At 39.9% G+C, this 22,874-nt stretch overlaps 1 protein-coding gene across 5 annotated transcripts in view, besides 2 other annotated features; it reads left to right on the top strand.

The window, feature by feature from the left end:
- Window positions 1-22,874, top strand: part of LRCH1 (leucine rich repeats and calponin homology domain containing 1) — a 199,872-nt gene that overhangs the window by 80,988 nt on the left and 96,010 nt on the right. For all 5 annotated transcript variants that reach the window (XM_017020483.2, NM_001164213.2, NM_001164211.2 and 2 more), the window contains exon 2: window positions 16,044-16,188. In XM_017020483.2, the coding sequence (XP_016875972.1) occupies window positions 16,044-16,188 (145 nt within the window). The remainder of the gene's footprint in view (window positions 1-16,043; window positions 16,189-22,874) is intronic.
- Window positions 5,246-5,345: an enhancer, noted in NCBI's record as "active region_7709". NCBI's record gives its function as "activates an Ori minimal core promoter by ATAC-STARR-seq in GM12878 lymphoblastoid cells {active_cell/tissue: GM12878}" and the evidence as "EXISTENCE:reporter gene assay evidence [ECO:0000049][PMID:35858748]".
- Window positions 14,028-14,197: a silencer, noted in NCBI's record as "silent region_5326". NCBI's record gives its function as "represses an Ori minimal core promoter by ATAC-STARR-seq in GM12878 lymphoblastoid cells {active_cell/tissue: GM12878}" and the evidence as "EXISTENCE:reporter gene assay evidence [ECO:0000049][PMID:35858748]".

A 22,874-nucleotide genomic window follows, 5' to 3' on the forward strand; every position in this document is an offset into this window, starting at 1 on the left:
GTGAGCCACCGCGCCCAGCCTTTCCTGCATTTCTTTTGAGCATCTAGCACGTTTCCAGTCATTCATCCACGTCAGAAAGCCCCAGATGCCACCAGCTCTTCTTTGCTTTCAATGTTTAATGGAACACTAAGGTCTGCGAATTCTACCTCACAAATGTCTTCCCTGGCGAATCCTCCTTTCTGTGCCACCCATCTTCACCTTATTTCGGGCCTTCCTCATTTCTCACCTGGATCTTTGTAACCATGGCCTCTAGAGCTGGCTCCCTGGATCCCTACTGGCCATCAATCCCATGTGCCTCAGCCGTAATGCCAGTCACAGTTCTCAAAGAGCTATTCTCTTCCTCCCTTCCTCATTCAGGCTGTGCCTGGTAATCTGGAGTGAATTTTCCACTCCATCCTGCAGACTTCCAAATACTTATCCAGAGGCTCAGCTTACAGCTCAATGCCTCTTTGAAGCCTTTCTCAACCTTTGCAGAGTTGAGATATAACTATGCTGCTAAATGTAAATCTAACTCTTCATACATTTTCTCTTGTTTACCTGTCTCCCCCTCCTGTCAGAGTCTGAGTTACTTGAGGTTGTGAATTGAGTCTTATTTATGTCTGTCTCTAATATCTAGCATGGTGTGTCTCATTGATAGCAGACATCTATAAATGAGTGAGTAAGTGAGCCAACGTGTGGGTGGTTTTTCCTGGGGCGGGAAGGGTTGGGAGGGTACCACGTAGTCAGTGTGAGCCTCCCTTCGGGCTCTTTGACTTTCCGATGAGCATGCTTACTGGTAGTGACTTCCCTTGACCCTTACCAGTTAGATACATGCTCTGGGACCAGAGCTGCAGAATATAAACCAGTAGTTTTGAAAAGTTATTATTATCTCCATAAGGATTGGGTTTTTTATAGGCACAGGTAACAAGGTTGAACACAACCAAGTGAACCCAGTGAATTCTATTTATTTCAGTGAGGTGTCTGTATGCACTGTGGCCATCCCAGAGGCCTTACTTTCAATTCATATCCACTAACTCAAGGGGGCTTTACTGCCACCCAGCACTCACACCGCCGTGCTCTTCTGCAGAGACTTTCCCGCAGTCTGTTCACTGCTTCATACTTTCTCCTGCACTTAAACCTTTAGCATATCTCCATCCCTGCCTCTCAGCTAACGGGGCTTGCAGGCAATTAGAAAGAGCTTCCCTGTGTACCTGCCACCACATCTTCTCAGTTGTCTGCACTCGCTGGCTAGTCTCCCTTGCTGTGGAGGAATTGTTGATGCCCCTGGGAAGGCCACACCCTCCACTTGAAAGATCCGGTCCCCTCCCACCTTTTTTTTTTTTTTTTTTTTTGAGACGGAGTCTCGCTCTGGTGCCCAGGCCAGAGTGCAGTGGCACGATCTCAGCTCACTGCAAGCTCTGCCTCCCAGGTTCTCACCATTCTCCTGCCTCAGCCTCCCGAGTAGCTGGGACTACAAGTACCCGCCACCACGCCCAGCTAATTGTTTTGTATTTTTAGTAGAGACGGGGTTTCAGCATGTTAGCCAGGATGGTCTCGATCTCCTGACCTCGTGATCCACCTGCCTCGGCCTCCCAAAGTGCTGGGATTACAGGCGTGAGCCACCGCACCCGGCCCCCTCCCACCTTTTTAAGAACATCACTCCATCAGTTGTCTCCTTTCTCTTCTGAATAATCAGTTTTCCCCTGGCCACCAAGCTATTCCCATCAGCATACAAACATGCTGATTTCTTCCCCCATACCATGCCCCTCTCCAGCTTCCATTTATCTGCTCTGTTTTACTTTGACTTGCCTGAACTCATTATAACTTATTCCTCTCCTTTCAGTCTCTCTCTTTGCAAAGTTTTTAAAGCTTTTAATTTTGGTAAGACATATACAACACAACATCCAACTTACCATGTCAACCTTTTTTTTTTTTTTTTTTTTTTTTTTTTGAGATGAAGTCTCGCTCTGTCACCCAGCCTGGAGTGCAATGGCACGATCTCGGCTCACTGTAACCTCTGCTTCCTGGGTTCAAGCGATTCTCCTACCTCTGCCTCCCGAGTAGCTGGAATTACAGGCATGTGCCACATGCCTGGCTAATATTTTTTTGTATTTTTGTAGAGATGGGGTTTCACCATGTTGGCCAGGCTGGTCTTGAACTCCTGACCTCAAGTGATCCACCTGCCTTGGTCTCCCAAAGTGCCAGGATTACAGGCATGAGCCACTGCGCCTGGCCCATCTCAACCATTCTTAAGTGTGCAATTCGGTAATGTCAGGTACATTTACATTATTAAGCCACCAATCTGCAGAATGTTTTCATCTTGCAAAACTGAAATTCTGTACCCAGTAAACATTAACACCTCATTTTTCCCTCCTCCAAGCCCCTGGCAACCATCCTTATACCTTCTATCTCTGTAAATTTGACTACTCTGGGTAATCGTCCATTCTCTCCTGAACCCACCTTCATCAGGCTTTTGCTCCTACATTCCCCCTCCACCACTTTTCTCAGGGTCACCTGTGGCCTCCACTTGCTGGATCTGACAGTCATTTCTCAGTCTTTGGCTGATTTGGCCCGGCAGCAGCTATAGGAACAGTGGAGCACTCCCTCCTCTTTGAAACACTGTCTTCACTTGGTTTCCAGGGACCTTGCTGGCCTGTGTTTTCCTTCTTCCTCACAGACCACTCCCTTTTAGTGTTCTTCCTCTTGTTGCCTCTGTAGGTTGGAATGTCCCAGGGCTGAGTGCATGGCCCTCTTCTCTAATCTTCACTCACTCCTCTTTAGAGTTGATGTCTTTCCATGCCATTTATACTCTTACAGTTCCCAACATTTGTCCCGAGGCCCAGCTGTGAACACTTCCTTACCTGCATATCTAATAGGTGTCTCAACATTTGCATCTCCAGAATGACTCTTGACCTGCCCCCCAATATCTGCCATAGGCTTCCACATCTGAGGATGGCAACTCCGTTCTTCCAATTTCTGAGGCCAAAATTGGGAATCATAATTGACTACTCTTTTTCTCTCAAACCCCCATCCAATCAGCAAATTCAGTTGGCTTTACTTTCAAAAGATACAACCTGAATGTGACCACTTCTTGTCACTTCCACTCTGCCACTCAGGTCTAACCACCATCTTACATTGCTTGGGTTGTCACCTCCTCCCTGGCCTCCCTGCCTGCCCTAGATTCCAAACACAAATCTAGCGAGAAGAGCCTATGAAAATGTGAGCCACCCTCTGCTCCAAGCCCTCCAGTGGCCAGGAAATGGCAGACTTTTACAGTGGCCGAAAGCTCTATGTGATTGCCTACTCCATGACCTCATTGGCCTCTTTTCTTGATTTTCTCACCCTTGTCCCCTCGCTGGAGTCCCACAGCCTTCCCTGGTGTGCCTGCAGTATGCCATCCTGCTGCTACCTTAGGGCTTTTCTGCTCTCTGTCCCTCTGGGGAAAGGCTCAGCCCTTAAGGATCCCGTGCCTTCCTCTCTTCTTTCTGTCAGCTCTGCACTCAGCTGTCACCTTGGTTGCGAATTCTTCCCTGGTCACCCTGTTTAAAGTTGCCACGCTTCTCCCGCACTTCGTAGTTTTTTTTTTCTTATTATTTTTCTTTCTAGCGCTTACCACCCTGTAACATGCCGTATATTTTACTTGTCATTTGTGTTTGTATCACCCCACTGGAGGGTGAGTTCTAGAGAGCGGGATTTCCTTGCCAGCGTTCGCTGGATTTGCCCACTGCTTAGAACTATTTCTGGCGCATAGTAGGTACACAGCAAGTATTCCTTGAATGACTATAGAGAAGAAGCTTTCACAAAACAGAAAAGCGTAATTAATTGCCCACTTCAGCCTCCTAAACTGTAGGCTTCATTTGAAATTTCAAGTTCTTATTTTATCCAAAAGAGAACAAAGCTGAATTAAACATTGCTTCAAACGATATCTTTGAGTCGTTTCCAAGAAGGATGTATAGATGAAATTATAATTTAGGTTGCTATGGATACATTTATACATATAAAATATTTGTGACAAATATAGTATTTGTATTATATACAAGAAAATTACTATGGATTTGCAAATCGATTCATATAAAATTTACTTTCTTATGGGACATTAAATATATTACAGTAGCTTTGAATTTTCTGAATTATATTTACTTAAAAATGTCACTGGCAATACCTTTGAGGGTTACTTTTTTTGGATAAAACTTGTGGCAATAATTCCTCCTTTGACTTCTTCAGCAATATGTTAAAACTGGCACGGAACCTTTGAATAGCTTTTGAATTTTTATCTCGTTTGAAATTAACCAGTTACTGATGTAATTAATACCATATGGTATAAATTTTGAATTCTGCATGATTTCTACTTCAAAATGATGCCTGCTGCCTTCATTCTACTTTATGTTTAACACAAGTATTTGGAAAACCTGAGTAGTGGTTATCTGGCTTAGTGGAACTATAATTTACTGCAGGTAAAAAGGAGGATTCATTTCTTTATGTTGGAAGTCTTTAAAAATATACTGATACATTTCCATCCCAAATTAGCAAGTCTGTTAGAGGGACAATAATTTTATCTTTGCTAACTGAAGATCTTACATGGCCTCATGCCTAAGATTATTTACTACACATTGTATCAAAATAAAAAAAGTTTGATATGCCACTAAAAGGCTTTTTTAAATAGGAGAGATCTAATCAATCACATACGTGGACGTGCTGTTTATACTACAAAACCTCTAGATCCTCTTTACCTTTGCAAGGGGGGTGGGTAGTTTTGGCTTTCCTTATGTTTTTATTTGTTATTTGTGAAGTATATAATAAAAGAAAATCTAAGAAATTGAGGATTATGGTTAACTGAAGTGTAATAGACTGTTTCACGGTATATTTGACTTCAACAGCTTCCAGCAAAGAAAAATCCTGGAAAAAAACTTTCTGGTTTGGTCATTTTTATTATAAAAGGCTTTCTATTTTCCAGCAAAGAACATTTCTTTTATGGTTAAGAGTTTCAATATTTATGTAATTAGCAACTCACAGCAGTGCCTTGTTTCATTCTTGATTCTAATCCTGGAATGATAACATACCAGCAAAGCAGCAGCCGTAGCGTCCACAGAGCCTACTTCTCTGCCTTTTTTCTGTCTCCCTGTAGAGAGAAGTCCACTCTTTTCTCTGATCCCAGTGTAGTAATGTAAATTTGGGCATGCAGAAAGTCAATGTGCCTTAGCATCCTTGGGATTCATTTTCTTTGCATTTCCGAAATTACTCACCTTGTAGCAGTTGTCAGATCCCTTAATTAGTAACTAGTTTTCTTTGAATTATGGTATCACATAGACTGTCTGTGGTCTGGCTGGTAAGAGACTGTTACCAGCTGCTCAGCTTTAGTCAGGCAATAAGGTATTTGTTACACTTCAAATAATCATGTGATTTAGTGAAAGGCCATTTGAGCTCTAAAGCCTCACAGTGGAAAGTTTCTGAGACCTCTGCCCTCCCTCTCACACCCCAGAGAATCCCTAGTCTCCTGCCTTCCTCTCATGCTATCTGCATGATTGCTGTTGGCCTGCTCGGCCAGGAAGATGGTCCGACACACACCCCTGTTCACTGCCCAGGGTCTCAGGATCCCTGTCCTAGGCAGAGTCCCAAGCAGTGTTGTACCTGCCAGGAAGCCCTTTGGGCTCTTCTGCACCCTTGGGGACCAGTGTCCCTACAGTAATCTGTACTCATGTTTATTCCCATACTTCTCTCTAGAATTTAAGTCATGAGCTGTGTGTCTCCCTTTCTGCACTCAGAGAGTATCAGAGGAGGCCTGGTGTCCTAGTTATATTTCATTTTTCAACTGTCATTTGTTGAACTCCAGACACTGCTAACTGCTTTGCATGCATCATCTTACTTCTTCTTCCCAGTGTTTATAAGGTGCAACTGAACCAAGCCATATAGTTGGCACTGTGATGAGTGAGGGAACAGATACATTGATCATTGAATGGAGCTAGAGAAAACTGTTAAGTAAGTTGACTACTAATTTAGTGGAAAGAGAAACCTTCAAACTAACTTACAGATTGTTCACTTATTGTACAAAACTATTATTTATTTATTTGTGTCTCATGGAACCCAGTAATAGCTAACATAATCATGATAGCAGTTATTCTTAGAGTGCTTCACTCTGTGGCAGGCACTGCTCTAAGGGCTTTATATGTATCATCCCATTCAGTCCTTTCACTAATTCAATGGAGCCAGTACTATTAATGTCCTCATGTTACAGATGCAGAAATTGAGGCATAGAGAAATTAAGTAATTACTTCCAAGTTCATGCAGCTAAGTGGTGGGACCAGAGTTTGAACTCAAGCTGTCTGACATGAGGACCTGGAACCAGCCTGGGTTTCCAGCAAGATAGGACAGTGCCCATCTTGGGCTGGGTGGAAACATGGCACTGAAGACATGGGCTCTTTGTTCTGGAGAAAATATTAGGGACCTGGTCAGAGCTCACTTACTTTTAGTAATAAATATTCAATTCAACGAATATTTATTAAGCTCTTACTGTACAACAATGAACAAAGCTCCTAATCTTCATGGAGCTTACGTTCTAGGAAGGGAAGAGAGAAAATTCACATCTATCTACATGACTAAATCGCATTGCTATGTTAGAAGGTTATTTATGTGCTAAGATAAAAAGAAAATGTAGAACAGAGGAAGAAGGTTAAGATGGTTATGAAAGAAGTTTTAAGGAGATGATCAGGGAAGACCTCATGGTTCATATTGGAGAATTGTTGATCACATTTCTGTTGTTTGACCTGACTTCTTTGTTGATCTCTTAAGAGATGCAGGCTGAGATCTTGACTCACTCAAAACTTGTAGGGAACTGCTTAATATTTCTGCCTATTTAACCCTGGAAGCGTTGGGTTGTTTGGTCTGCAGAGTCAGGGGTGAGTCAGCCCATGGGTTCTGCTTTATTGGCTGGGTAGCACTCCCTTACTGGGGGGCAGTTCTGAATGTGTGCCCCATGGGTGCTGAGTTATGGGCTGGGTGGGGTGTCTAGAGGAGTGGGAAGTGAGGGTCAGACACCGAGGACATTGCGGAGCTGAGAGAGGAAGTTCAGGATGGATAGAAAGATGTAGCTGCGATTCTTCTAGAGAGACCCTTGCCTGCCTAGGTGAAGATAGGGATGAATTGTCCAAAGAGGGCACATGACCCTAGATCCTACCTCTACCCAAGGACTATCTTCACCAAGGCAGTGGTCCCAGGAAGAGTAGCAAGAGGGTGGAGATAACAGAGCAGCCCCCTCAGTACTGGGAAAACAGCAGGTTCCATGCACTTTTGTGGTGGGCCAGGGCTTTAGATGAGTGAATGACAGATTCACCTTTTACCCAGTTATTGAGACATCATGAGGAGTGTTAAGATTCTGAAAGTAAATTTCCACGATAACATGTTTATGATGTCATTTGGTCTTCCTCTGTGGAACTGGTAATGATTTTGACTTTCAAGATGAGATCTTCTCTTCTGACCATAAAACAAGATGTTGCAAACGAGGTTCCCAGCTGTCCTGGTCTGTCGGCATGGCTGCTCGATGGCTCTGGTGGCTGATAACTCAGGATGTTGTTGCTGGAGAGTGGGGAACTCGTCCAGATCCTCCTGAGACACCACTTTCCTTTTTCATACAAAAACAACACCGTGCTTCCAATCGTGCTGACTGCACACCAGATTCCATTGACTGTTTTTCTACCCTACCCTGCTTATTTTTATTCATCTGGCTACTTTATTTTAGGGATTTGGAAAGCTTGTCTTGGCAGTGGTGACTCTTATTGTTTTATTTCTGGCTGCTCGGCTTTCATGTGAATGCTTCCATTAAGAGGCGGACGTGGGGAGGACGTGGTTCTGGGGTTCCGGTTTGCTGCCTAGGTATGTTTGCACAGATAGAGCTGTGGTGGCCCAGCTCCACGCTGCAGAGCCAGACCTAGGCTGGGATTCCAGCAGGAAAGGACAATGCCCATTGTGGGTTGGATGGAGGATACGTGGCACTAAAGACATGTGCTCTTCTTTCTGGAGAAAATTTTAGGAACCTGGCCAGAGGTCACTTACTTTTAGTACAGAGCTATAGAAACTTTTTAATGCCTGGTGACCAGGCACCTGAAATGGGTCAGTCATTTTTTTTTCTTCTACAAGCTATACCCATATGAACAACTGATGTTGCCTGTATGCAGTTCTATGAGGCAGAATCAGTAGATTCAAGACAGGACTTTGGTGTCATACAAACCTGGATTAGTTCTTGGCTCTGCCACTTACTAACTCAGTGTCCTTGGACAAGTTACCTAACCTCTGTAGTCTTTAGTGCCTGCACGTGATTGGGAATTGTAACAGCACCTGCCTCGCTAGGTTGTGATGAGGATTACGTGAGGAAAAAAAGCCCCACAAATTTTCTGTGATGATGGACAACTCAAAATACGCAAAACTCCATTCCAGGTCAGATTCTTGTTGCTCTGATTGTATCAGAAACTAGCTGAGGAGTTCAGAGTAAGGATCTAACCTAGCAATGCTTAATTCTGGATTGGGTAAGATTTTATTTCCCAAATCAGCTTATTTCTCAGGTACTAGCCTGGTATCCAAATCGGACCCTTTCTGGGAACTACCTCTGCTCTTAGGACAGCAGCATCTGTGGAGGGTTGGTTTAGGTAGAGAAAGCAGAAATAGGTTGTGTCGTCTGCTCACCTGGCTTTCCCATAGCCCAGTGGGAATCAACTGGACATCTCAAGAATCCTGATGTCCAAGCCACGCTCTAAAGTTTCTGGCTATGAACCCCAGGCTTTAGGATGTTAAAAAAAACTCTCCGAGTGATTGCAGTGTGCCAACAAGATTGAGAAACAATATACAAATAGCTCATAAGCCGATTCACTAACACCTCTATACAAGCATATTTATAATAGAATTAGAGCAATAAATAACAAAGACATACACAAATTCTTTATCTGCATGTATCTCTAGCTTTTAAAAGCTTACTTATCTTTCTGTCACTCAGACCCTACTGTACCTTTTCACAGCCCCTTGCCCATTTGCTCCCTCTTATTTGGTTGCCGTTCAAGACAAAGATACTAGTTGCCTTTTTAATATTTTCCTGTTATCTATGAGCTCTTATTCTTTCTGTCTTTCCTGAGTGGGAGAACCTTCATTACTCACAACTTGATGTATCTGTCATTGTTAGTGGTGCTTCTGGCATGGCTCTGACCTTTCAAAAGGCAGAGTTAGGAATGCTCATATCTCTCTGTGAACCATGAACGGACTGCCCTCTCATGTCTTTAATTCAATTAAGTCCTAGATTCATTCCTTCCTTTCTCTCTTTTTCTCTCCCTTTTAAAGAGGGACCAGACGTTGTTTTATTTCTTGGTTATCAGGACAGAAAAATTTTGAACATGTACGTATATCTTTCGCTCCCACTGTTTGTAAAGGGATTATCTCTTCTGGATTATCAGAATCAAAACATCTTGATCCACACTCACTTCCCCTTCCCTTCTAGGTGTCTTCCCCATGGTGTGCTCTCAAAGACACACTATGATTTCCACATCAGCCTAAGCAAAGCATCAAAAAGCAAACATGCCCATTTTTTTTGCACCCTCTTCCTCTCTTCTGTTAACAAAGTTGAGGATTAAATGATACTCAGAGAAAAAGCAAGTCATATATTTGGAAACCTATTAATCAAAATAGAGTGTTTATGTAAGGTTAATATAATCAGCAATTCGAGCCAAGCTTCATGTTGTTACTTCTAGAATTAAGCCCATCAGCTGACCTATTTTTTTCAGTACTTTCCTTTTTTATCCATGATTTTCATCACTTTCTTACCTTCTGGGCTTATACGAAGACCATGTCGACTTTATTTTGGTTGAATTTTGGACACATAAAAGTGCAGTGAAGATTTCATTGCTGTATCTTCCTGATAATAAAGCTGTTCTTGCTTGGCCTTATTCCATGGAGAAAGAGTGGTCTTGTGTGGGGAGCTTTATCCATCGTTAGCGTTGGGCACAAAAGTGACAGAAGCTTTCAGAGCCTTAGTTTTGTCATCTTTAGGTTGGTGGGGCTACTGCTGCTACATGCAGTGGTTTAAATGAGGTGCCAGATGTGAAGCTCCAGTGTCAGGCATGCTTGAATTGGTCAATGCGTGGTAAACTTTGCCAGCTGTCATTCATCTACCTTCTCCCAAATGCCTAGCTCTTTATTTGCACCATTTTTAAAGCACAATTAGGGCATCCTGCCTTATGTTTCATTCTGGGTTTGCCTCATCTTACTTTTCAAAATTTAAACTCCTTGAAAGTAGGCCTGAAGTAGTTTTCCATTTCCGTAGCTATCCCATCCTTAGTGTACGTTGAGGATGCATACATAATTCAGCAGGGAGTGAACTAAAACTAAACAACAAAAAAAAGGAAAGCTTTTGTTTTTCTGTTTTGCAGTTTTGTTTTAACTTGGGTGATGCCGATCTGGGCAACTGTTTTTGTATAGCCAGTGAAAGTGTCTAAGCTGTGTGTAGATTTTGTAATATAGTTTCATCCTTGTTAATGTAGAAATTGTAACACAAACCCAAGACAACAGGGGACCCATTGCATAGGTGAATTCTCACTAACTCAGTGGACAGGGTGGTCTGCCTGTTTGTCCCCCAGTGTAGGCCTGGGCATGGCAGAAGCCCATTGTTACCTTATAACTTTATGAATGTATAATGTGTAGCCTGGCTCCTTTCAGAAAGGAATCCTAAAAAAGTACATATAGAATAGCATAATTAAAAATAAGAATTAAAAGAGATCAGACACAACTTAAAATAATGGGAAAATGAAGGCTTTACTGGGTAAACCTCCTTTTCCTTTCAGCTAGCAGGACTAATCTCATTCCTTGAGAGGCTCTGACCAGCCCTTAGCACAGCTGCTTCTGGGATGCAGTCACACAGCCAGGGAAGAAATTACTTGGAAGGAAAAATGCCAGAGTTTTCCCTCAAACCTGGAGATTATGGAGGAAAAGATAAGAAGGGGGGAGAGCAAATATAATCTGTATTGTAAATAGTAATGAAAATACCAGACTGATACACTAATTAGTGCAATATTCTAGCATGTTTTTAGCAAATTGTTATTAATGATGCCATTAGTAAGTGTAGCCCAGAATTGAATATTAGCTGAATTTGTAAGTCATTTTGTAATTTATTTGTCTTACCATTACATTTTTCCCAAGTTTGAAAACAGAACACTTTTAAAATTCAGATTATATGATGGAATATATATTCTACAGTGAAATGTCAAATTCATTAAAATAATGTGCCAATATTTAATTACAGTATTGGTGGGTTTATATTTTATAACTTCTTGTGATATTTAACTGCTGCTATTAATTATGATGATGAAACAAAATTTCTTGGATTTTGAATATTTTTGATTTAATATATTTGACTTCAGAATAAATTTGACTTATTCACATAAATCTTAGCTTTGAAAAGAATGTTAGAACTCATCTAGTTGTATATACTTTAATATTACCTATTCAGAAACAGAGGTCTAGAAAATTGAGTAACTTTCTCAAACATCTCAGGTGGTCGTAGATTTAGAACTAGTCTTCTGCTCTCAGGTTAGAGTGGTTTCTATTATTAATTTTATGTCCCATTGTCCTTTAAAAGGTTCGTAGCTATGTGACAGTATTGCTACAAAAATACTATTTTCTTCTTGCTTAAAGAAACATTGGTGATGCTGAAATCACAGAAACACTCTCATTACCTAAAATAGTTCTTGAAATATTCTACGCACATGTATTCTGTATCTTTTTCATTCAATTAGATAGTATAGTTCTAGCAATTCTCAGGAAAGGTTAAGTTTGGAATGTAAACTGGACCCTCAGTGGAACTTTCTTTGAGTTGAACCTGAAGGAAACCACACATATAAGTTTTCGGGGCAAACTTCCAGCACTGTAGCACATCAAGACCACTATGTCTAGTAAAGTGTTTCAGAAAGAAAGAACACAAGAGACTTCTGGAATTCTTTTCTATTTAGATTCTAAACATTCGTGAAAGGAGTGTTGCTTTAATATTTTCCTTAATTTAATATGAGGAACTTCACAGTTTGCTCTTGCTTCTTAATTCTTTTTAAGTGAAATGAAATTCTTCGTGTAGAGAAAGAGTAAGAATGCTGATGGGAGAATGAGACAGAGATGTGTATACACACATACACACAATTACATATGTTATCATAATATGTATATATTATGTATCACAATGAAATAAGCAATGCGTTGATATCTCTAAAGGCACAGAAGTATCTACAGTGAGTTCCTCCCATTCACTCCTGTCCTCCTAGCCAGAGATCCTCTCTCCAGAAACAACCACTTCAAACAGTTTCTTGTGTAGCTTTCCAGACACAATCTACTTATATTTAAATAATTATGTAAATATTCATTAAAACCCACAAATACTATATGCACTGTCCTGCAACTGTTTTTGTTTTTAAACACTTATAATCTATTTTGAAGTTTGTTTTGTATCAGCACATATAGAGCTGCTTCATTCATTTTTATGGCTGCATAGTATTAGTATTCCATTATGGAATATAATGTTTAATATTACATTCAATCACACAAAATAGAATTAACATTACATTAATATTGATTGATTTAATTTTAGCATATTTATGATGTTTGTTAATGGTATATTAATACTTAACCAGTCCTCTATTTTATTTGCTTTCCATCTTTTGCTATTTGAAACCATACTGACCAGGCACAGTGGCTCATGCCTGTAATCCCAGCACTTTGGGAGGTCGAGGTGGGCAGCTCACCTGAGGTCCGGGGTTTAAGACCAGCCTGGCCCACATGGTGAAACCCCATCTGTACTAAAAATACAAAAATTAGCTGGACGTGGTGGTGCATGCCTGTAGTCCCAGCTACTGAGGAGGCTGAGGCAGGAGAATTGCTTGAATCCAGGAGATGGAGGTTGCAGTGAGCTGAGATCACACCACTGCACTCCAGGCTGGGTGACAGAGTGAGACTCCAACTCAAAAAAAAAAAAAAAAAGAAACCATGCTAAAAGTATGTCATTTGCATATGTATAAGAATATCTGTAGATGAGAAAGACTGCTAGGTTAAAGTGTATGTGCATTTGTAATATTTACAGATATTACCAAAAAATGTCCTTCATTTACATCACCATGGCCTCAGCATTACAATGTGTTTATCAGATTTTTTTATATTCACCATTCTAATAGATGAAAAATACTATCCCATTTAGTTGTAATTTGTGTCACTCTAATTTGAGTGTGGTTGATCCTTTTTTTCATATGATTAAGAGCCATTCGTATATCATTTTCTGTGAGCCATCTGTTCATATCTATTTTTCTTTTCTTGTTTATGATTTGTCTTATTTCTGTCAACTGTAGAAGCTCTTTCTGTTTATAAAAAATTTGCCTATTAGGTTTAGGAATTGTAGAACTTTCCATCCTCCCCCATTCCTTGATTGTCATATATGTTTATGGTGAAGTTTTTGTTTTAAAATGCCATACTTTTTTGTGTGTGTTGAATTTGGCACTCTGGCTTTATACTATTCATACAAAGCCTTCCCCATTCTGAGATCGTAAACACAACCCATGCTGTCCTGGTGCTATTACAGCTTCCCTTTTCACAGTAGATCTCTGATTCATCTAGACTTTATTGAGATAAAAGGTGCGAGATAGGTAGTCATCTTTTTTTTTTTTTTTTTCGTTGTAAATGGCTATCTAGTTTTCTCGAACTACTGGCCTTGTGTCTTTTCCCTGTTGATTTGAAATGCCACCTTTATTGCACACTTCAGTGGTTCCCAACCTTTTTGGCACCAGGGACCGGTTTTGTGGAAGACAGCTTTTCCCCAGACCGGGGTGGGGGATGGTTTCAGGATGACTGAAGCGCATTACTTTATTGTACACTTTATTTCTATTATTACTACATTGTAATATATAATGAAATAATTATATAACTCACCATAATACAGAATCAATGGCAGCCCTGACCTTGTTTTCCTGCTCTAGAAGGTCCCATCTGAGGGGGATGGGAGACAGTGACAGATCATCAGACATTAGATTCTAACAAGGAGCACGCAACCTAGGTCTCTTGCCTGCACAGTTCACAATAGGGTTCATGCTCCTATGAGAATTCAATGCCCCAGCTGATCTGACAGGAGGCGGAGCTCAGGCAGTAATGTGAGCAGTGGAGAGTGGCTGTAAATACAGATGAAGTTTCACTTGCCAGCCTGACACTCACCTCCTGCTGTGCAGACCTGTACCAGTCTGGTCCGTGGCCTTGATTTCCATATGTATGTCTCTTGACCCATTTCCCATCTTAGTAATTCATGCCATTGACCTTCCCATCTATCCACCACACTGCTCTATGATGTGTTTTTAATATCCAGGCGAGCTCATCCTCTCAGGGCTCTTCTTTGTTGAGAAATACTTTACTGTTTTCACATTATTTAACCATGAGATCTTTAGAATCAACTTGTGCAATAACCCCAACAGTTTTTTTAAAATTCTGGAAGTATTTTTTTGTTTAAATTGGAAGTGCCTTAAATTATATAGATATAATTGAGATAATTGTCATCACCTTTTAAAATTTTGCCTTAGTAGCATTTTAAAGTTTTCTTCATATAAATTTTGCATATTCCTTAAGATTTGCTGGGGATTTTGCCCTTTTGCTATTATCATAAATTATATCTCTTCTTTTGTGTCATTTTGCTGGTGTGTGTAAAATATATAAAATATCCCTTAATAAGGTTGTTTAAAAATTAATACCAAATGCCTTTTACATATCCTTGAAGATGATCATATATCATTTCACTTTGGTCTATTTATAAGGTGAATTGTTTTGATAGTATAAGATCCTCGTGTTCTCTATGAACCCATAAAAAAGGACGATTTTATGTTCTTTGCAGGGACATGGATGAAGCTGGAAACCATCATTCTCAAAATTATTCCTTGAAAGTTTGTTAGAATTCTCCCTCTGAAGCTATCTCATCCTGATTTTGCTTATTTGTATATTTATTTATTGGAGGGAAGGTGGCTCTTTAACATCTATTTCATCTGTGATATTGACATATTTACATTTTCTGTGTTTTCTTTGGCTAAGGTGTGGTTTCTTAAGTATATGTTACATATTATTTACTGAAAATCTTCAGTTACTGTTTGAGTCTCTTCTGATACAGGGTGAGGTTATCTCTTATTGTTGAGTTGTTTTCAAAAGTAGTGGTTCTTTCCTTATAGTCTATGTTTTCTGGAATTTGACAATCATGTCTCCCATTCATTTAGATATTAGGATATTAAGGACTATTGCATAATCTTATCATCAGGATGGTAATACTGTAGGCCGTACTGTATGATTACGCTGCTCTGGGGACTGTGATTGCTTTCTTTGGTACCTTTGCCCAGTGGTGTCCAGTTTTACTGCTGATTGTGCTTCATAGTGTCAGTTCTTAACAGATACAATTTATCTCAGTCTTATATATTATAGGCTCTCAGTAATTCTAGTGAGTAAAGTACTTGGTTATTGTCTGTTATGGGTTCATTTGTAAAGGATGTAAAAGACATGTTCCTACAAAAATTAGCCAGGCATGGTGGTGCGTGCCTGTAGACCCAGCTACTCGAGAGGCTGAGGTAGAAGGAACACCTGAGCCTGGGAGGTTGAGATTGCAGTGAGCTGAAATCGTGCCACTGCAGTCTGGTATAGGCAACCAAGTGAGATCCTGTCTCAAAAAAAAAAAAAAAATTGAATTAATAATTTTGGTAAATATATATGTATTCAGATACGTTAAAGGATAGCATTTTGCATACTTGTCTGGTAGAATGAGTTGGACATAATTTTTAGTTACAGTAAAAAGTTCTTTAGAGAGCTAAAAAGTTTTAGTGGTATTTTTGCTTTTCCAAATCCCACATGTCCCAGAATTTGGCAAGGAAATAGAAAAAGGAAATAGAAATCACAGTGCTGTAGTAACAGAGGTGCAAAAAAAAATGATAATGTTGGTCAAAATGTATAATGTTAAGAAAAACAGTGTTTGTGGTTAATAAAAGTGTATTGATTTTGTTCAAATTTTGTTGAGAAAATATTCTCTCCTTTTCTTATAGACTTATCTAAAAACAGACTGGTTGAAGTTCCAATGGAATTGTGCCATTTTGTATCACTGGAAATTCTTAATCTGTATCACAACTGTATCAGAGTCATTCCTGAGGCCATCGTTAATCTGCAGATGCTGACTTACCTGAACTTGAGGTAGGTTAAACATAAAAGTTGTAATCAAATTCAGTGAAAGAAATAAAAAACTTATGCTTTCATTTCTATCCATTTTTTCCCCTTTTTGCAATTCTTGATTTTTCTTTGATGTAGGTCACACACAGATGTTTTAAGTAATAACTTTTCTAATAAATTTGTAATGTTGTTAATACTGTCCTTGGTGCTAGACTTCCCTGAATATGAATAAGACAAGGTTTTTTTTTAAAAAAATGATTTATATTATATCATTTATTCTCTTTGTCTAATTGGCATTTGTAAGGTTGTAGTTATGTTGTCTTCAAGTATTCATGTAGATTTTGGAGGAGGAAGTATAAAGGAAGTGAAAAAGAGTTTGGTTGTCAGGACAAACAAGGAGCAAAAAAAAAAAAAAAAAAAAGAGAAAGCCTGGGTGATCTTTGGCAATTATTGGTAACATTGGGCTTTGCTACCTAGTACTAATTGAGCCCATTCACTTTAAGCCTTCTTAAGAAAGTTGAGGAGCACTGAACAACTCTAGCCAGATACAAAGTTTGCTATCTATCTTTACATCCCGCTAACTTAGGTCAGTGTTTGCTGAGCATGGTTTAGTAATGTGCATTGATTGATTATGCACAACATAATATCATATATTAATGCCCCTGAGTAGCTCTGATATTAAGAAAATCAGTTATTTTAAGGCCTTGGTTTTAGACTTTGCAGCTAGGTTCTCTGGTCAAATTCTAAATCCTTTCCCCATATCTGGGATGTCAGGAGAGAAAGGGAAGCTGTTTCATCAAATATATCTTTACGGTGAATACAAGATCCCCAATTGCAAGCCTGAATGTAGCCTTTACTCATGTCATTGCGTCATGTTAGTGTGCAAAGGGGAGCAAGACTTGTGTTGAATAACAGATATACCCAACATCAAAGTTCAGAAAGTTCAATGAACCAGGTATAATGTCAGTGGTTTTTTAGTTTTGTTTTTAGTTTTGATTTAGTTGGCTACTGAAAATTACTGGTTTTGTCTTGTTTTCCTTGCAGTCAAAAATGAGTTTCTGGCCGGGTGTGGTGGCTCAGGCCTGTAATCCCAGCACTTTGGGAGGCCGAGGCGGAGGGATCGCCTGTCAGGAGTTCGAGACCAGCCTGGCCAACACGGTGGAACCCCGTCTCTACTAAAAATACAAAATTAGCTGGGCGTGGTGGCGCATGCCTATAATCCCAGCTACTCAACGAAGCTGAGGCAGGAGAATCGCTTGAACCCGGGAGGCAGAGGTTGCGGTGAGCCAAGATAGCGCCATTGCACTCCGGCCTGGGTAACAAAAGCGAAACTCCATGTCAAAAAAAAAAAAAGAGTTTAAGTTGCATTTCTGTAGAAGTGCTTTTTTTTTTTTTTTGATATGCAGTCTCACTCTGTCACCCAGGCTGGAGTGCAGTGGCGCCATCTCAGCTCACTGCAAGCTCCGCCTCCCGGGTTCACACCATTCTCCTGCCTCAGCCTCCCAAGTAGCTGGGACTACAGGCGCCGGCCACCAGGCCTGCTGATGTTTTGTTTTTTTTGTTTTGTTTTGTTTTGTTTGTTTTGAGACGGAGTCTTGCTCTGTCGCCCAGGCTGGAGTGCAGTGGCGCGATCTCGGCTCACTGCAAGCTCCGCCTCCCGGGTTCACGCCATTCTCCTGCCTCAGCCTCCCAAGTAGCTGGGACTACAGGCGCCGGCCACCAGGCCTGCTGATGTTTTTTTTTTTTTTTTTTTTGTTTTGTTTTGTTTGTTTTGAGACGGAGTCTTGCTCTGTCGCCCAGGCTGGAGTGCAGTGGCGCGATCTCGGCTCACTGCAAGCTCCGCCTCCCGGGTTCACGCCGTTCTACTGCCTCAGCCTACTGAGTAGCTGGGACTACAGGCGCCCGCCACCACGCCCGGCTAATTTTTTGTATTTTTAGTAGAGGCGGGGTTTCACCATGTTAGCCAGGATGGTCTCGATCTCCTGACCTCGTGGTCCACCCGCCTCGGCCTCCCAAAGTGCTGGGATTACAGGCGTAAGCCACTGCGTCTGGCCAAGTGTATTTGTTTTTTTTGTTTTTTTTTTTGTCAGGGTTGAAAAAAATCCTAGCAGGTTTTTAAGTAGCCTTAACTTCTTTTTGGTAAATAAGGTGTAGGTTACTGTTAGGATTGTCTGGAGGCTCATATATCTAATCTTCACTTTTGCAGATTTCTAACTTATCTGACCATTTTGAATTTTCTTGCTGTTTCTACCATAGTGGGGTGTTAATAACCTTGGAATTTCCTGGTGCAGCAAGCATAAGTGTCTATAGAATTTGGGTCAGTATCTCCTAAGACATCTGTACTCTAATTCCAACATATACAGGGGAAAGCATGTGTAGTTGGTCTGTTTACTTACCTACTCCTGTCCTGCTGTGTGTGACATTTTCACTGCTGGTAGTCCTGGATGCAGTAAGTCTATATATTTAACTTTGCATTGTTGTATTTAGTCCATGTTCATTGAGAAACTTTTGGGTATAGATAACATTTTACTTTTACAATGATAGGGATTTTAAAATGCTAATCACACTAAATAATGTCATCTTAAAATGTATATTATATTTTTAGAACATTAGTAAAATGGTTTTGGTGTGATGGTTTCCATGTCACCCCCAGTTGAGAATAGATTATTGCTGTCTTCAGATGGGTAGGAAGAATATATTGCAGTATGGATCTGAGGATGTTTTAAGGCAAAGACAGAGAATTCATTGAAACGGATCATGGCTGAAGAGGACCATGTGGTACGTTATAAACAGTTTTGTGATGAATTCCTGGGTAATGGAAAGGAAAAAGAATATAGGAAGAGGCTGTTAAGCATCTAACTCTTCAAATATGGTTTACAGTCTGTAATTTTTAGCTTCCTGGTTGCATCTGTTTTCTCCCACTTACATGGGTCATTCTGTTTTTGTTCTGTTTTTCTTTGCCCACTTCTCCTACTTTTAATATTACCATGTTTGAGACCTATTCTCCCATACTGAATCATGTGCTCTTTGAAGGAATTTGACAAATAGAGAAAATTTGAGGAAAAGCTTATCTCACAGAGGTATTGTATAAAGATATAAAAAAAAGTGTAGCTATCCTCTAAAGTTTTTGAAAGCCAGATACTATATATACATATATAATTATTTTCAAAACCTCCTATAAAATTTTTTACATGAGTATAAATGTATAACATAAAATAGTAGGCTGGGCTTGGTGGCTCACGCCTGTAATCCCAGCACTTTGGGAGGCCGAGGCAGGCAGATCCCTTGAGCCCAGGAGTTCGTGACCAGCCTGGGCAACATGTTGAAACCCTGTCTCTACTGAAAAAAAAAATACAAAAAGTAGCCGGGCGTGGTGGCGTGCACCTGTAGGCCCAGCTACTTGGGAGGCTGAGGTGAGAGGGTCTGGGAGGTTGAAGCTGCGGTGAGCCGTGATTGTGCTACTGCATTCCAGCCTGGGCAACGGAACAAGACCCTGTCTCAAAAGAAAGAAAGAAAGAAAGAAAATAAAATAAAAATATTAATGAGAGTAATCTTTAAAGTAATCAGAAAGCTGGTCCTCTTGTGTTATTCAATTACAAGGCCTTTAATTCCTATTTGATTACTGGGTATAGTTGAAACATGTCTTCTAGGAATTGGACCCTTGAAATTGAGATATTTATCAGATTTGATGTTGAATGCAATATAGCTTTTGCCTAAAAGATTTATTAGTATCTGTGAAACAGTGACTGTCACATTTGTTTACTTCCAAATATGTAATTGTATCTAGAAAATACCAGTGGCATCTAATAAAATTCTTTTGAAGTCTTCTCAGATGTTGAGTAGTATCATCCACATGATAGTGTTGTCTGTGTGAGTTCTTCCTGTCCACAAACTACCACCCCACTCCCAGCCATCCCTAAGCCTGGTAAGCAGGAGGGACTCAGAATATCATGCTTGTGTGTGATGACAACGTGATGTCTCCTCCACAACAACCAGGGTTAGCCACGGTGGCCTTTTCACGTCTTTTCTGCTCCTCCTGGATATTATTAAGTTAGCAAAATAAAATATATATTTTGTTGGGTATGGTGAAGGGTCGTAGTGGACTTCATTGACTTTTGACCTTTGGGGAGAGACTGCCAATCCCCTCACTTGAAAAGGACACAGAGACTTAGGATGCTGCAAACACACCACTTTGTAGAAGAGCTAATCTAGTGTTTTTTCTTCAGTAGTTATAAATGGGATAGTATGCCAAAGAAAAAACTTACATATCCAACATAGAAGTATATAATCAATGCAGGACATTATCATTAATTTTGATGTATGGGGAAGTCGGTGTGAATTTCTTAAAATTAAAGAAACTGTAAATTGCTTTTGAGCTCACACTTAAGGTAGATGATATCAAGTATAGTATGATCTGAAAGAGCTTTAACAAATAGGCAAGTATATCTGATTTTATAAACAAGTACCCTAAAATACTTTCTTTTCTGTAGCACTTAGAAATTTTCCTCTTATTTCTATTAATTGAAAAGAAAGACTTGTTAGATCAAATAGTGCCAAGAAGCTGGTTTTCAAATTTTCACAGATTTTGTCTGTCTGTACTTAAAATCAATGTGACCTCACTGTATTTAGATTTTTTTCTTCTCTCAATAAATTGCATGTAGAAATTATTAATTTTGTATATTCCAAAGTAGGAAGATGCCATATGAAGCTACTTTGAATTCATGGGAAACATTCAAAACTGATTACACCCTCTGGGGTATATTGTGTATTTCAGCTGAGTAAACAGCCATAAATATTTGATAGTGATGGTGATAGTGATGGTGATGATAATGATGATGACTATGATGGTGGCGGTGGTGGTGATATGTCACTCCCTAACCAGCTTCTTGGCTGATATGTTGTCTTTAAATGTCAAAAGGCTGCTTGTTGCCAACAACCTCTAGTCCTAAATTAGAGATAAATTTAATTAGCACATGAAAAAAATCCTTACTGTGAAGTGCAGTTAAAAACACTTACATATTTTTCACATTTTCTCACATGACAGAAATGTTATGTTTGTGGAAAATATTAATTTACTGCTGTTTATGTAGCCTGTGTTTGAAGGATTTGGGCTTTTAATCTTTGCCTCTTGGCGTTCACAACAAAAGGTTATGTTAGTTTAGTATATGTGCCACTGTGTCTTTTCCTGTTATAAAGTGTCTTAATCCAAGACATGTGGCCAAGAACAATAAAAATGATTAAGCAAGATTTGTTCCTATAGAGGAACCAACACTTTGAACCTGAGTTACACAGGAAAGCCTCACAAAGTTTAAAATCTATTTTAAGATGCTAGAGAGTTTGTTGTTGATGAGCCTCATGAAGAAAATGTACCATAGGAAAATAAAATAACCCAGACTAGCAAAACTCTTGGCAATAGTAGGAGTGTTGTGAATCTAAGAATAGGGACCTTGGTTAAAAAGTCTCATTTCAGCGTTAGCGGCTGCCAAGAAATGAAAGTTCTGTATAGTATTTGATCATATTGCTTCCAGAAGTCGTGGTGAGTGCTTTTACTTTTCTAGGGTGAAATACACTCAGCTAGGCCTGGTTTATTCATTAGAAGCCCCAACCTCTCCCAACCTACTAGGAGTGGGTTCCGAAGCATTGCCTGTAAAGAACAGGGCGGTCTCTTGAACAAAATGTTATCACACCATAAAAGGAATCTGTTTTGGCTGCTTTCTCTGCAGCCTGGCATTCTTTTCGGCTGCTGAACAATGTGCAGAAAGAGCCAGCTTCCTGATGGTCCTATAACCCGTATCCCCACATTCCTCTGGGAGTCACACTGAGAAGTCATCTTGGATTGGGACAAGTGTCTTGCATGCTAGGGTTGCCTTAGAAAACACAGACTTTATACTTTTTTTGTTGTGAACTAAAAATTAAATTTAACTACATTTCTTCTTACTTGTAGAAGAAATGTCTTCTCTCCTTGCACTGACAATTCTAAAGAAAGTCTCAATTGTAGGCTAGTGTTTCTTCTCTCTTAAAAAAATGAAAGAATTGATGATGTCTTCCTAAACTGGAAAGGAGGAGGAGTTTTGTTCAATTCGATAAAAATGTGTATCCCACATTCTTTCATGAAGATCTTACCCCATTCAAAGAGAAAATGAGAACACTTTAGTGTGTATATTAATGTATATATTTTCGAGCTGGTCTTTGGTAGCCAGGTTTTGTTTTGTGAAATGACAGATCAGCAGAAAGACACCAAAAACACAGTGAACTGAACTGGAGTTTGAAAGTGAACTGACTTAAAATTTGAAAATATTTTTCACAGGATAGCAGAGTTGGAAGAGGCCATTGGAGTCATCCAGTGCATACGCACGGCCAACCATGTGGAGTTTACGCTTTGCCTTTTCTAGTGCTCACTGGGCATCTATTTTCAAGGTGGAACCCGTAGCCAATGGTCCCTAAAATTATTAATGTGTTTATAAATTATTGTGCCTGTAAAATTATGTCCATTGCCATTGGTAGCTGACAGGCTTTATAAAGTGTGAATGAGTGAATGATTGGCTATTTCTTATCAGATTGAATTCCTTTTAGGATAGTTCATATTTGGCATAACTTCCAAGGAGGATTTTCCCATTATTACATATCACCTGATCATAGCTGTTGTTTTGGATCAGTGTGTATTGAAAAAAAGAACAGAGAGACACAAAAGGGATATTATGACTTTGATA

This window comes from Homo sapiens, chromosome 13, assembly GCF_000001405.40.
Source record: "Homo sapiens chromosome 13, GRCh38.p14 Primary Assembly".
Taxonomy (NCBI): domain Eukaryota; kingdom Metazoa; phylum Chordata; class Mammalia; order Primates; family Hominidae; genus Homo; species Homo sapiens.